The following is a 15,202-nucleotide window of genomic DNA, read 5'->3' as shown; positions in this document are numbered from 1 at the left end:
AGGGGGCAGTCCCAGGCTGTTTTTAACAATCAGATCTCTCATGAACTCACTGAGAAGAACTCACTCACAAGGGGATGGTTCTAAACCAAGCTTGTCTAACCTGCAGCTTGCAGGCTGAATGCAGGTCAAACAGCTTTGAATGTGGCCCAAAACAAATTTGTCAACTTTGTTAAAACATAAGAGACTTCGTGTGTGTGTGTGTGTGTGTGTGTGTGTGTGTGTGTGTGTGTGTTTAGCTCAGCAGCTATTTTTAGTGTATTTTATGTGTGGCCCAAGAAAATTATTCTTCCATTGTGGTCCAGGGAAGCCAAAAGTTGGACATTCCTGTGCTAAACTATTCATAAGGGATCCACCCCATGATCCAATACCTCTCACTGGGCCCCACCTCCAACATGGGGGATCACATTTCAGCATGAGATTTGGAGGGGACACACATACAAACTATATCAGGTATATGTGACCGTCATTGAGACAGGTTGTAGAGTATGCATACTTTCAAATGGATCCTGTCATGTTATTTTCTGAAATGTTTAAAACCATTGAATTTCCCATCCATTGCCCATAAAGGTTGTTATCCTCATATCCTCATCACACAATGTTATCTAGGATTCTTAATTTTCTAAGCGAGTGGTGAAAATACAGATCTCATTTTATTGTGCACATTTGCATCTGTCATATTGTTAATAATGTATTGGAATTTTTTGGCCCATCTTTCTATTGAGTTGACTATCTTCTTTGTTCATTTGAAAATCAATGATATTCACTGTGCCCTAAGCATTGTCAACATTTTCTACTACTCTGTCACATGTCTGATAACCTTGCATACCAGCCTTTATTGAAATGAATCTTTATGATTTTTATACTCCTTCCAGAGTTTATGTATTTAAGTAAATTTTTTGGTTTAGTAAATCCTTTATTAAATTGTAACAACAGGCCCAAATCTCTGTTTTATTGGGTTCATTCAGATTTAGAATTCAGAAAACTTTTTGGTGGATAAATTCTTTTTATCATAATAAAGAATGGCTGTGATAATGCAATATGATTATTTCTGCTAATGCTTATTGTTTTATAGCCTACTTTGTTTATGTGATCAGGAGGACAAGACCTGAATGGCCTTGACCAACTCAGCTTTATGTACCTCCTGGTTCTCAGAATAATTTTAGAATGTTCCGAGAAGACAATATCCTGAGATAGAGAGAAACTGTCTGGGATTGTCTGGGCTCTGCCCTTGTTGTTCCTAGAACAGGATATTTCGGCAACTCTTAAACTCAAAGAGCCAAGTAGCACATGGGGTGTGAAACCTAGGGCAGAGCACTCAGGGGTTCCTCAGCTGCAGTACACAGTGGAGCATGTGCAGAGGAGACTCTGTCAACCCTGGGCAACTTTTCTGACCTCAAGGGTCAGGCTTGCCATAGAACTTAGGCTTTTGCTGATTCTTCCGGCTCCTCTGTGAGTAATAAATTTGGTTTATCTGACCTACTGTGTGAGCATTCTTCTGTTTCTGGCAGCTTGGTTTATATAAAGAAACCTCTTGCTAGACCTATGAATCTATGCAATGTGGAAGTGTCATAGAGGTAAATAGGAAGCAACTTAACTGAGTTGAAAACTAACATACATAACATGGGGCCACTGCACCAAGGGGCAAAATGAGCCAGCCAAAAAGGCCACATGTGACAATTCCAGACACACTGTGGAAGAAGAAGGATGCTGAAACTCAGAGAGATCTGAAGATCTTATCCAAGCCAACAGGAGGCAGGGAATTCCACGGTACTCTGATTCAAGAGTACAAGCTTCATCTCAGAGAAAAGCAATGCAATGGCCTCAGCGATCAGACCAGAGAGACCCTCTGCCACAGAGAAAGCAGAGATCCAGAGAACAGCATGAAGACAATAAGAGACTTGAGACTCACTTTCACTTTGCCTTGAGGCCACAGAAAGCCCAAAGCATCTGAATATCTTCTTGGAGGCATTTTCCTAAAATAGAGCTATTGAAACTTGAAGAAAAATGTGAATCAAGAAGCTAAATTTAAAGATATGTTATTTTCTCCTGCCCTCCCCCACAAATTAACCACAGGATGAGTCTAGTGAGATGAAGCATATCATTTATACAAAATACAGAAGCTACATATTCTTTATGTGAGCAGAAATATGTTCAAATTTTACTCAATAAATGCATTTTGTTTTACTACTAGAAATAGTAATTTTCACTTGGTGATTACTTTATTTTATAATTATCTCTATTTAAATTTGTATTAGCCCACTCCTGGGTATCTACCTAGAGGAAAATAAGTCATATGAAAAAGACATTTGTACACACATTTATAGCAGCACAATTTGCAGTTGCAAAAATGTGGAACCAGGTTAAATGTCTATCAGCCAATGAGTGGACAAAGAAAATGTGTTATAGATACACCATGGAATACTGCTCAGCCCTAAAAAGGAATGAAATAATGGCATTTGCAGCAATCTGGATGGAGTTAGAGATGATTATTCTAAGTGAAGTAACTCAGGAATAAAAAAACAAATATTGTATGTTCTCACTTATAAGTGGGAGCTAAGCTATGAGGGTGTAAAGACATAAGAATGATATAAGGGACTCTGGGGACTCGGAGGGAAGGTTAGGGGGATGAGGGATGAAAGACTACACATTGGGTACAGTGTACATGACTCGAGTAGTGCATACACCAAAATCTCAGAAAATCACCACCAAATAACTTTTCCATGTAACCAGAAACCACTTGTTTCCCAAAAACTATTGAAATAAAGTGATATGTATGAAAACAATGAATATGATAGTCTTGAGGTACAACATTCACTGGGTTTCATATGGGAGAAAAACAGCTAAAATCAAACACATGGATAGACAGTCAGAACAATGTCCATCATATACATAGTAAAATTAATACAACTGCAAACATGCATGAGTGGCGTCCATTTGGAATAACCTGCAGTGAAGATGTATGCCTTAGGGCCCACATAACTCATGTTAGGGAGAAAATGTATAACTTTATTCAATATGAAGATTTCTTCAGAAATAACTCAGTCCATGCTGTGCAGATGCAGTCCTGTACTGTAGAGACAAAGAATAAGAATCATCAAAGTGGAAAAACCTCTGCCCCTGCTCCAAATTCTGGTTCACACAGCAGAAGTACTACTGGAGAGAAAAGCCATACATGTCCCAAATATGGGAAAGCCTTTACCTACCAGTGATTTCTTGTGAGACATATGAAAATTCACACTAGAAAGAAATCTTATGAATATGACAAAAGTGGCAAAGGCTTTAGATATTCCCTACACCTTAATAAACATTTAAGAATGAACATTCTGGACAAGCCCTATGAATGTAAGGAATGTGGGAAAACCTTCAGCAAGCCTCAAAACATGCATATATAAGGAGTCATGCTGGAAAGAAACCCTATAAATGTGACAAATGTGGAAAAGACTTTGCAAAGTCATTAGAATTAAAAGCCACCTTAAGAGATACAATAGTGAGAAGCCCTGTGAGTGAAAGGTGGAAAATCATCATTAATTTTTCACCATACTGAGGAGGACACACTGGAAGGGAGCTCAATGAGTTAACATGCATGAGAACATCTTTCCTGGACTCTCATATCTTACAGTAGTGTGAAAAGAAACCCTGTGAAGGTAAACTCTATGGAAAGCCTTTCATTCATCTTCATTCATCTTGAGTAGCTATTTGTTCTCACACTGGTGAGAAGCTATGAAAGCAAGGAACATGAAAAAAGCCTCAGTGTTGCCTCAGACTTGTAGTTCATACAAGAACTCACACTGCAGAGACTGCTTATGGAAGTAAAAAATGTAGAAAAGACCTCTTTAAACACTTACCCCTCTTGTTACACATGATTCCGCACTCTGGAGGGAGACTACAATGGGAATAAATATAAGAAAGCTTTCAGTTCCAGCTCTTCACTTATTGGGCATGAATGAGCACATAGCAGGACTGAAGCACTGTAAATGTTAACAGTTGTTGCAGTTATCATTGTCTTATCTCTCAATTAGAACCCAAATTCATAATTTTATAGTTTTTCTTTTCTTAAAAAAAATGGTATAAAATGACAGATAGCTGTCTTAGCCCCCTTTCTGCTCTGCCACCTTAATGTTGCTATGTAGTAGCTTTGTTACAATTCACTTACATACCCATGGTTTTATTTTCAATGTGAAGCCTTCTTTGAGTTCCATTCAATTTAGATTTAGAATTCGTATGCTCCAGGATACCCTTTTTTTTTTTGTCAGTTTGTTTTAATTGGTCACAATTTGCCTGCATTATGGTCACATTATGTGGCTTTAATGGTACCGATTTGGGGTGCCTATTATGACTTTCATTGTGGTCTAATGTGGCCAATTCTGTCCATTTCCCTGCTATATCCATTATTCTCATCTTCTTCACTAAGGGAGCATAGATTTATCATTTACAAGGAGCACAGTTTACATGTCTTTATTTATTTATCCTTATTTTATTATTTAATTTATAATTTGTTTTTGAAAAATGGTCTAACTCTGTCTCCCAGGCTGGAGTGCAGTGGCATGAACATAGCTCACTACAGCCTCCTGGGTTCCTGTGACCTCCCAGCTCAGACTCCTGAGTAGGTAGCACTGCAGGCATAACAGGTGTGCACCACCACACCCAGATTTTGTTTTGTTTTGTTTTTGTGGATACTGGGTTTCATTATGCTGCCTGGACTGGTTTCAAGTTCCTGTGCTCAGGTGATTCTCCCACCTTGGCCTCCCAAATTGCCAGAATTACAGGCATGAGCCACCATGCCTGGCCCTGATTAATGTCTTTAAATGAGTTTCCCAGTTTTTCTCATAACTGCAGTGAGCAGAGCTTATAGTCTTGGCCAATGTGAAACGCAGAATTCACTGGTTTGGATTTCTGAAAATCTGTTTGGAAAGGGAAGAGTTATTGCTCCTCTTTTCCCTTAATCATGTTCCCTTTGCTCTCTCTGCTTGCTGATCTCTGGAAATAGGATGAAATGCCCTGAGTCCAGTTAGCACCTTGAAGACCATTGGAATGATGGTCCCAACAACACAGTCTTCAATATACAAGATTTCTCACTGCCCAATGACATGTTGGGTATCCATGGCTGCCCTGGACTATTTCTGGAATTGTTTCATAAAACTAACCCCTAGTAGAACTAAGAAACAATTTTAGGAGACATACTTACAATAAATTAAACGGTAAACCTAAAAATGAATAAAACATATTATAAAAATAAGGAGAATAGACAAAATGGGCTTGCAGATGCTGACTGGCCACACATCCTTGATGCTCACCTCCATGGATGCCTCACCAACTGTGACACTTGGAGAGCTGGCAGCCATCACTCAAGAAATCAGAACACAGTGGCCTCTACCGCAGCATCAGGGAACAAAAACTAAGCCTGTCAGCTCTCAAGAAACATACTTATGTGTATGTATATATATATATATATATATATGACATAAATTTATTCAGTTACTTTGAGATATCTCATTGCTAAACAGATAAAATGAATTAAAACTAGTGCAAATTTCTGGCAACAGTATTTCATCTCCCCATTATTTATCCAGGGCATTGAAAATTGGCACACATCACAGATCCTTAAGTCATTCTCTGAATCAGGAGGAGAAAAGAGGAGAACAGAGAGAGCTTACCATATGTGCCAGTCACTGGGCTGAGTGCTGTGCCTAAAGGATCCCACTTGATGCTTGAAATAACCCTGCAAGATCAAACTAAAAACTCATACACACTCACACACACACACTCACACACACACACATGCTCAAGCACACACTAGAAACTACAGAACAAAGAAAACGTTGACAACTAATAGAAGTATAGTGCTGGCTAAGCACAGTGGCTCATGCCTGTAACCTCAGCACTTTAGGCCAGGAGTTCAAGACAAGCCTGGGCAACATAGCAAGACACCATCTCTACAAAACATTTTCTTAGATAAAAATCATTTTTAAAAAGTGGTATAATGCCTAAGGGCTCAGGGAAACAGTACCCCTATGGCTGTATGGTAAGCAGCAGGCAAGGCTACTTGTCAGACCAAAGTGGTAGTGATTCCAGGGTTCCTTTGCACACTTATCCAGGAGGCTGGCTAGCTCAGCACTGCCTGGGTTTACTTTATACCTTCTACAGCTCTAAAGCTCTGGAAGGTGGGACCTAACCATAAGAGAAATTGCTATTACGCAGGACTCTCTTAACTGCAAGTGACTGAAACCTACTCGATCCAGGAGAACATTGAATTACTTGACTCTAATTACTAAAAATATCCTTAAATAGATGGGCTTCTGGCTCAGTGAGATCAGGGGTCAAATAATATCAACCAAGACTCATTCTGTCCCTTCATTTCCTGTGTCAGCTCTGCTTTTCATGCTAGCTATTTTGAGAGAACAGCAAAAATGGCCCCATAAATTCCATATCATTTACTTCCTTGCAAATAGCTATGCCAATAAAAAGAAAGCACCTCATTCCCAGCAGTTTCATCAAAAGTGCAGGGATGACTTCCATCAGCCCAGCTTGGATCACATGCCTGTCCCTGAATTAATTACCCTGCTGATTGCCCAGGGTGGCCAGCCTCACCCCAATCACATGGGCTAGTATTGAAAGAGTGGTCCTCACATGAAGAAAAAAAATAGAAGAATAGTGGCAGAGAAATATGGGAGGGAGGGCCTCATCTCTATATAAAAAGTATGAGCGTATTTGTGTTCTTTGGTAAACTTATTGATATAGTCACTGGGAAAAAAATTGAGAAAAACCCACACAAGACTTTCTACATGCCTCTGTGCTTTGTATTCAACACTGAGCTGTGAGAACTGTAATTATTAAAACAAAACTTTGAAAAGAAGTAACAATTTGGGACAATGGGGACCCTTAGCTGATGCGACAGTGAGCAGTTCTTCTTTTGTGTGCATGAAGATGCAATTCCCAGGAGCCCGCCTGGGGTCTTCTAGGACAAGCATGAGGGCACCTACAGGCTGCAGTTCCACTTTTCCTTCCCTGGACTCTCAGGGAGAAACAAGTTCTGGATTCAGCTGAACTGAGTTCAAGTTCAGGCTCTGTGACTCACTGGGTAAGTCTCTTGCTCTCCTTGAGTCCCACATCCTCATTGGTAAAATGGAGAGGTAGAGTTATTGTTAGGTTTGGAAGGCAAGGCGAGGGTTAAAGAAAGACAGAGGGACAGTTGGTGGCTTCAACAGCAACATCTTTATTGCCAGCAAAACCCTGGGGAGGAGGAAACCAGCTTAGTGCCAGAACCAACTGCCACTCACAGGCTGGGGTAATCATGGGACTGGGAGGGAGGGATCTGGGTGGTAGAGCTTGCTGCCCAGCAGGATATGGCAAGGATGTCCCTGCAGTCAGGCTGTTGGGCCTTTGCCCAGGAGGATGTGATAAGGATGTTTCTGCAGTCACGTGGTTAGGAAGGATGTTTCTCATGGCCCAAGTTCCCATGGAACGTTTCACTGTGATCAAAGTCTGCAAAATGGCTGGAGGTTTACAATATGGTACAGGTTAGACCAACAGTAATATCTCCCAGATAAACAGTTCTACAAAGTAAACTTCCCTTGAGCATCTACACTGTACCAGACATGGTGCTAGGACCCAGGCCACAGGAGGAACAGGACAGATGAGGCCCCTGCCATCCTGGTGCTCACATCTGATGAAGGAAGCTAACAGATCATAAGACCAGGTCAGATGGTGGTGGTAATCAAAGACATTACCAGAGTGAGATGAGCTAGAAAGAAACCGAAGGAGCTCTTAAAAACACAGTGACAGGTGGAGACCCCTCCGAAAGGTGACTTTTGAGCAGAAACCTGAGAAATGTGGAGGGGGCTATGGAGAACGACCAGCCCCTGAAGCAACCCCAGGATTGGGAGGGCAAACCCAGCACCAGGAGGGCAATGGAATGGCCTGACCTGTGCGTCCTTCATGCTTCCTTCCTCAGTGATGCACAAACAGTAACATGGGGCAATTTCGTGCAGGGTCCATGGATGAATCAAGAAGCAGCCACACTGCAGAGCTGGAGTGGGGATAAAATCTGACCCAACAGTAAAGCTAGAAGCAGGTGCTGCTTACCACTGACCACAATGCAGGTCATGAAGCATAACCAGACCCTGAAGGCACGTCCAGGGCCAGACCAGCTGACCGGGCTGCCAACATCTTAGTAGAGATCCCAGGAGATCAGTTGAGCTGGTTAGGGGGAGAAAAAAAAAAAACAGGAAAGCTTCAGAAAATTCCAGAGGACCCATGACACTTAACATCAACTTCCCCCAAGTGGGATCTGTTTGTCATTGCTGGTTCTAAAGAGTTGGTCCCACCATCCCCACCTGCCCATTGCCTAACCAGGGGAAAACTCAGGGTGGGGTCCACAGAAACAATCCCTGTGGAAGAGGAAAGGGTGTTTCTCATCCAAAACCAAGGGAAAACACCACTTATAAGGAGCAGAGGGGCCTGAAGGGAGAGACAGGATTCTGCTGTTCATTTGGATATCTGCTTCCCAGCAGGAAAGGGGACCACGCAGGATACAGGGGCTAAGTGGACCCTGTGCTGTGGGACTAGGGGGGCTGGTGCTGACTCACTGTTGGAGGTGAGCCACTATAGGAGGCTTAGAACCCCTCCCTGCAGCCTCTCCAGTCTAATAAGGGGATGGTAGTGTGGTCAGTGAGGGCATCCAGATGCAGCCAAAGGGCACAGTGAGTGATGTCTCCTCTGGCCTCCTCTTTCAGCTGCAGATTCTCTGAGTTACTGAAACAGCTTCTCCATGGCCCCACCAGCCTGGAGGGTGGTGACAGCTCCCAGATGACGCTAACCCCAGGGCCCTGCGCCATCCCCCCTGGTTCCCCTTGGCCCTGCCCACACCTACGTAAACAGCTTTTTCTTAATGACCCTTCAGCCACTTCGAGGTCCCTGCCAGTACCTGACTGCCACATTCCCCAAAGGGAACAGGCTCCTCAGCACAGGAGCTGAGGTTTCTACAGGCACAGAGAAAACACTGTCCCAACTGTTGGAATGGAGTCGGGAGTGGAAAAAAGAACGTTTTTTCTCAATGCTTAGACTCACCAATTGTTTCATTTTATCACATGAAGGCTGTGTGGCATTTTGAAGTAGAATTAAGAATCTACATAATTACAAATTATATTCTTAAAAGAAGGTGCTCAGTGCCATGCCTGACACATGGTGGAACTCCACGATGAGATGTGTGAGAAGCCAGGGTGCCATGGTTACAGACAAGGACTGCAGGTACAGATTGCTTGCTTCAAACCTGGACCAGCGGTGTGAATTTTGGCAACTCTCTGTATTGCTCTTTGCCACTGTTTTTTAATCTAACAACTAGAAGTAAAAACAAGGTTATTGTAAAAATTAAATGAATTAAAGTAAGCAGAGTGCCTACAACACCCCCAGGCACGCGGTCAGCACTGAGCATGTTTTTCATTATACTCCTAATGAGGTAAGAGTGAGAACATAGGTGCCAGCCATGAGCCTGGGGTTTCACTGGCAGAGGCATCAGAGACTCTACTTTTAACATCCTCCATTCATTCATTTGACCCTGGTAAGGGAGGAGTCTCATGGGATACAAACAAGCATCCACCTTGGGGCCAGACTTCCCATGGTCAAAGTTGAACTCCACCACTGTTCAGCTGGGTGACTTTGGGCAAGTGACTTCCCCTCTCTGATCCTCATATTCCCTTTCGATAAAAACAGCACAATGGCAGGCCTATGGGGATTGAAGGAGCTGACAGAAAAATGTGTGCCTTAGTATAAATTTCCTGGAAGTAGATCCTGAGGCACATATTCAAATACAAAAATTCTATTTGGAGATAACTCTAGGATAGTAATTCGACTGCCAGTTCTTCCTTAGGGTGCGAATCCCAGGAAACACCAGTAGAGGAGTGGGGAACTGAGACAGGAAAGGAATGCAGCAGTTAAAGGGACCTTCATCAAGAAAGTTTCCTCTGTGGCAGCCAGGACTCAGCCCTGCCAGGCACATCTGCAGAGACAGCACAGAACATGTGCCTCAGAGTCATCCCACCCAAAGCAAGGGAGCTGGGGTATTTATCCACCAATACCCACCAGTCACTCCTCAGGGATCCTTCCAAGGGCATGATTCCTCCAGAATGTCCTGCCTGATCTGCAAGTGTCAGACCCGGGGTTGAGGACAGGGCCCCTGACAGTGCCTCCAGCAATGAGCAGGAACACAGCCTGGTGTGGAGAGTTTTAGTCAGTGATTCCAACTCACACTTACCCACACACCACACTCCAACCCCAGCAATGTGTATATGTACACACACATACATGCATACATGACGGTTACCCACTTTGATCCTGGTGACTCCATGGGATATACAGTAAGGCAGAAATCAGAGGGAAGAGCAGAATTAAGGGGAGTGAAAATCTTAAGAACAAAATGCAAATTTAGGCAGAAAATCAAGGGGGAAGAGGAGTGGTCTGGACACCAAATGCCGGCTGGATGGCACCTGCTCTACACACACTGTCACTAACTATCCAAGAAGCCTCGTGGGGTAGAAGAAATTCCTCTCAATTTACAGATGACAGAAATGTAGTTCAGAAAACTGACTTTACTAATGTCTCAGCAAGCTAGTGCGTGATAGATATGGACTCCCAGATCTTTCCGTCCACAGAGCCTATAAATTCTCCCTTGTTAGGCAGGCTGCATACCAGGCCCTGCTTCTGGGCTCTGCTCCTTTTCCTGCTAGGCAATCATGGCAGAATTGACAGAAATGTTATCCCCCTTCACCACCTGGAGCAGAGCCAATGAGAGGAGCTGTGGAACAGGCCATGAGGCCCTGCACCCACCATTCAATGTCTTCAGGATTGCGGTCCCTCAGAACTCTTGCACCACGTGATGGCATCACTCCTGGGTGTCTTCTGAGGTTGCATAGGATTCAGTAGAGCCCAGTGGCTGTGCTTTCATATCCTAAGAGGCAGCCAAGCAGGCTTGGATCTCTTGGCTGATTCAGCACCAGAGGTTGGACACCGCCCATGCACTGAGGCCCTTGGGAGAATGGGAGGAGGGAAAGGAAGGGCAGAATGGAGTGATGTAGTGTCCATCCACCATGTCCCTGGATGGAGAGACCCACACCGGGACCACCGCTGGTACTCATGAAGATGCCAGCCTCCATTTATATGTCCTCTTCTGACAACTCCTTCCCATTTTCATCCTGGAGACAAGACCTCTGAACACATTAGCTCTGAGGGCACCTGAGTGTAACCTGAGACAGTCCCTGAAGACTTTTCATCCAAGCAGGATCCCTCCCTTGCCATCTCCAGACCTGCCCCACAAGCTCCCTCCTGGGTCTCCTGGCTCTTGTTCACTCCTTCCAGGCAGCCTTCTACAGTCATCTCTAAGACATATCTGACTGTCCCTCCTTTATCCAGCACCTTCCATGGCAAATTAAGATACCGGAGAAGCCACCTTGCCCAGCACAAGTGCATCACTGAAGTCCCAAGTCTTGAACGTGGCCTTGGCCTTGAGGAAGTCATGAACACCCTGGCTAGTGAGGGTGCAGTGCTGCTCCAGGATGATGGTGTCTAAAGTTGTGCACCAGGTCATAGGCCCTGCAGAAGCATCACCCCTCAGGAATGGGTAGTACAGGAAGTCCATGCACAGGCAGATCTGCTGGTGCCATTACACTATGAGGGCACTGAGCTCAAATAGGGTGGCAATATATTCACTGGGATTCCTGCAAGGTGAGGCTGGGGAGAGGAAGCAGCTCCATAACACATATGAAACCCTGGAAACCCTTCTCAGCCAAAATCTCAGGACCACATTACACCCAGAAATGGGTGCCCTCTGAGCACACTTGTCTCTCTGTCTCCCACTCTGAGCTCCCTCATGGCCCCACATGCCCCAGCCTGGCCCAGAGCTTGAAGCCCAGTAAGTGTTCAGTCCATGGTGTTGACTGCTCCCTGGGACAGGAGAGCACTTGGTGGCTCTGGGACTTCTCCTGTGGAACCCCTGCATCTGCCTTGGGACCTCCCAATTCCCATGGGTAGCCCCCATGGCTCTGGGTTGCCCCACCTGCCCTCGGATTCTCCAGCCCCATAGGCCTTACTTGATGCCTTAGCCCTCCCAGAACGTGACATGTTTCTCAGAATGTGGCTGATGTCCAGGGCCATCTGTGGATGTTTGCTGGGGACTTCTTGCTGATTTCCTTTACGGTCTGTAGGGCAGGGCCAAGAGGAGAAACCAGCCCAACCTCAGAAAGAACAAAAGGCTCACTGTCCCAATGGCAACCACCAAACTGTCAGCAGTGCTTCTGAAAGGAAAGGAGGTTTCATTCTGCAGAAAGCTCCTTGTTTGGCTTCTTTCTGACGCCAGGGAGGGGTACCAATCCCTGCCTACCTGTGGTGCCTACGTTACCATCTCTGCCTAGGATGTGCAATGGGCCCCTGCTCCCACTGCAGGGTTGATGTTCCCTCCAGCTGGAGACCTGGGCTCCTGACACCGCCTGGCCTCTTTGTCCTGCTCTGGATGAGGGTGGAAAGGCTGTAACTGGTATTTCCCTAGGTCCTTGGTTTCCACCTTCTAAACATCCAGCAGGAGTGATCATGCCCAGCACCACACCTGAAGTGGGACTCCCTTGTGGAGCAGCCAAGAAATCTACAGATGGAAGAATGCTCTGGTGAGATAGGCCACAGGGGTCCCTGGGGAGGATCGGGGGCCGGAGGATTCTGGAGGTTTCCAGCCTTGGGCTCTGTGGGAACTATGATCTGGAGCTATTTTTTCATTAGGTCACCAAGAGACAACCCCTAACCCCTGAGCAAGGCATGGTCCAAGCTCTGGCATGAGATTCTCTTCCAGCAATGCAATGCTTGCAGAGACAGGTACAAAAGCTGGTGACCAGACCTGCTGTCCCCGAGGTAAGGACAGTGTGCTACCCACCCTCTGAGAGGTGGTGCCAGACCACAGCACTGGGTGCCTGTACCCCTGGCTCTGCAGACACCGGTCATGGAGGTCCCATGGAGGTCCTCCCCTCTCCACATTACCTTCTTGCTGCTCCTAGATTTCTTCTAGTCATTAAGCATGTTGAGCCATTTTTCTGTGCATCCGATCTGACATTTTTGCTCTCAGATGAAACATGACAAAGTAAGCTGAGCCACCAGGATTCCTGGAGGGAACCTTGGATGCTTGGTCTTGGGCTCCAAGGCACTGATGGGAAGGAGCCAGGGAAGGACAAACACTGGGGCTGAGCCCCTATGACCCAATGGCAACTTGTGGCCTGTCCTTATGGCCCCAAGACACCCTGTCCTCAGGCCACAGACACCACGGGCTTTGGTCAGGTCCCAGCCTCCCAGTAGTGTCCGGGCACTAGTGGGTGCTGACCCCTGAGCCACAACCACATTTCTGGGTTTCGGGTTTGGTAAAACCACCCCAGGGACAGAGTTCTGGGGCCGGGTTTGGGAGGAACCAAGTCGCCTCCCAGGGATGGTGTGTCACTCCTACCTGCCATGAAATGTGCACACAGGCTGTCCTCCTGCCCATCCCATCCTGCTGGACAGGATGGAGGAAGTGAGGGAACAGGCAACGTGGACAGCTTGGTTGCAGGGAGAGGCAGGTGCATGCTGGGAGGTCAGGCCCTGTGAGGGCTGTGGGGGCATCAGGTGGAGTGGGTTCCAGGTGCACCCTCAGTGTAATGGGCAGGTCTCAGGCCAGGCTTCCTGGACCCCGGCTGGGTGATGTGGTCACTCCCTGGGGGACTACTGTCAGACCCTGGCCACCCACCCTGGGCAGCACTGTCCCATCCCAGGACTGGATTTTCTGAGTCCTCAGACAGGACAGCACTGCCCAGGCCTGACAGACTGGGAAGACCTCTTAAGTCCTCCATCCCTAGACCAGCCTCCCAACAGCAGGGACAGTCTGCTACCTTTACCTTCAGGGCACTGACTGATCCATCTCAGTCTAAGGCAACCGTGGCAGAGCTGAGGACCTGTGCCAGGCTGGAAGCCAGTCCCTTCCCTAAATAGGCCTTAGGGAAGCCTTATCCCTGTCCCGGTGCACTGCAAGTTTCAGCCCAGGAGACACATAGGGAAGGGAGGATGGGGCCTCCCCACTGGCTGTCCCTGGAAAAGCGGGACCTGGGAGAAAAGGGAGTGCAGGGCTGGCAGGGGATGCTCCAGACCCATGGAGAGCTCAGGCTGCACCATGGGGCTGCCCCTCCTGGGCTGGAGGCTGTGCCCTCTGCAGGATCTGAGGAAGTGCAGTCCTGAGATGGACAGTGCTACCCAGGTTGGGTGGCCAGTGCCTGACAATAGTCCCCCAGCAAATGACCACATCACCCAGCCAGGGTCCAGGGACCCTGGGCCAAGACCTGCCCAGTGCACTGAGGGTGTTCCTGGAGCCCAGTCCACCTGATGCCCCCACAGCCCTCACAGAGTCTGACCTCCCAACATGCACATGCCTCTCCCTGAAACCCAGCTGCCCACCCTGCCTGTTCCCTGGCCTCCTCCATCCTGTGCAGCCCATAGACTGTGACCATCTCTCCGACCACTCTGGCCCTTCCTTTACCTTTGTCCTGTCAGAATCTCTGAGCAAGATCTCCCAGGTCCATCCAAACACCTGCTTTGTCCACTTTTGACTGGGCCATTGAACACCACTGGGCCATCCCAGCTGTCCACAGGGCCTTCAACATGCATTTCTCCTGACATCTCCCTGCAGTGCTCAGCAGCCCCAACTGAACAGGTCCCTGCTGACCAGATCCAGCATATCAGATCCTCCCTGACCACACCTTCACTGATTAGACCCCTGTCACCAGGCCTCACTAACTAGATTCCCACTGACAGGCCCACAATGACCAGGACTCCACTGATAAGGACCTTACTGACAAGGCCTCACTGGTAAGGCCTCACTGACCAGGTCCTTACTGACAAGGCCTCACTGATCACATTCCACCGATAATGACCCCATTGCCTGGTCCCACAGATGAAGCCCCACTGACCAGGCCTCCAGGGAATAGGCTGCCAGTGACCAGTCCCCTACTAACCACGCCTGAGGTGACCAGATGCCCCTGACCGGGACTCTAATGAGTATGCCCCACTGAACAGGCACGCACTGCTCAGATCCCCGCTGACCAGGTCACCCCGTAGACCAGTGCTACAAAAGCCACCACTGATCAAGTCCTTTCTGACCAGGCCCCCACTGATTAGGTTCCACTGAGCAGCCTGCCCTGACCAGGGC

General features: G+C 46.9%; 2 pseudogenes across 1 annotated transcript; one reads left to right on the top strand and one right to left on the bottom strand.

Annotated features, from left to right (window-relative positions):
* On the top strand, positions 2,773–3,504 carry LOC100419891 (zinc finger protein 114 pseudogene; annotated as a pseudogene).
* CYP4F35P (cytochrome P450 family 4 subfamily F member 35, pseudogene) lies at positions 7,194–12,295 on the bottom strand (annotated as a pseudogene). Its single transcript, NR_026756.1, has 4 exons — positions 10,822–12,295; positions 10,078–10,206; positions 9,067–9,336; positions 7,194–8,196 (listed from the first exon to the last, which is right to left on the bottom strand). The product of NR_026756.1 is annotated as a cytochrome P450 family 4 subfamily F member 35, pseudogene (transcript).
* Positions 12,296–15,202: the final 2,907 nt, after the last annotated feature.

This window comes from Homo sapiens, chromosome 18, assembly GCF_000001405.40.
Source record: "Homo sapiens chromosome 18, GRCh38.p14 Primary Assembly".
Lineage (NCBI taxonomy): Eukaryota > Metazoa > Chordata > Mammalia > Primates > Hominidae > Homo > Homo sapiens.
This window is presented reverse-complemented; position numbering and strand designations above follow the sequence as displayed.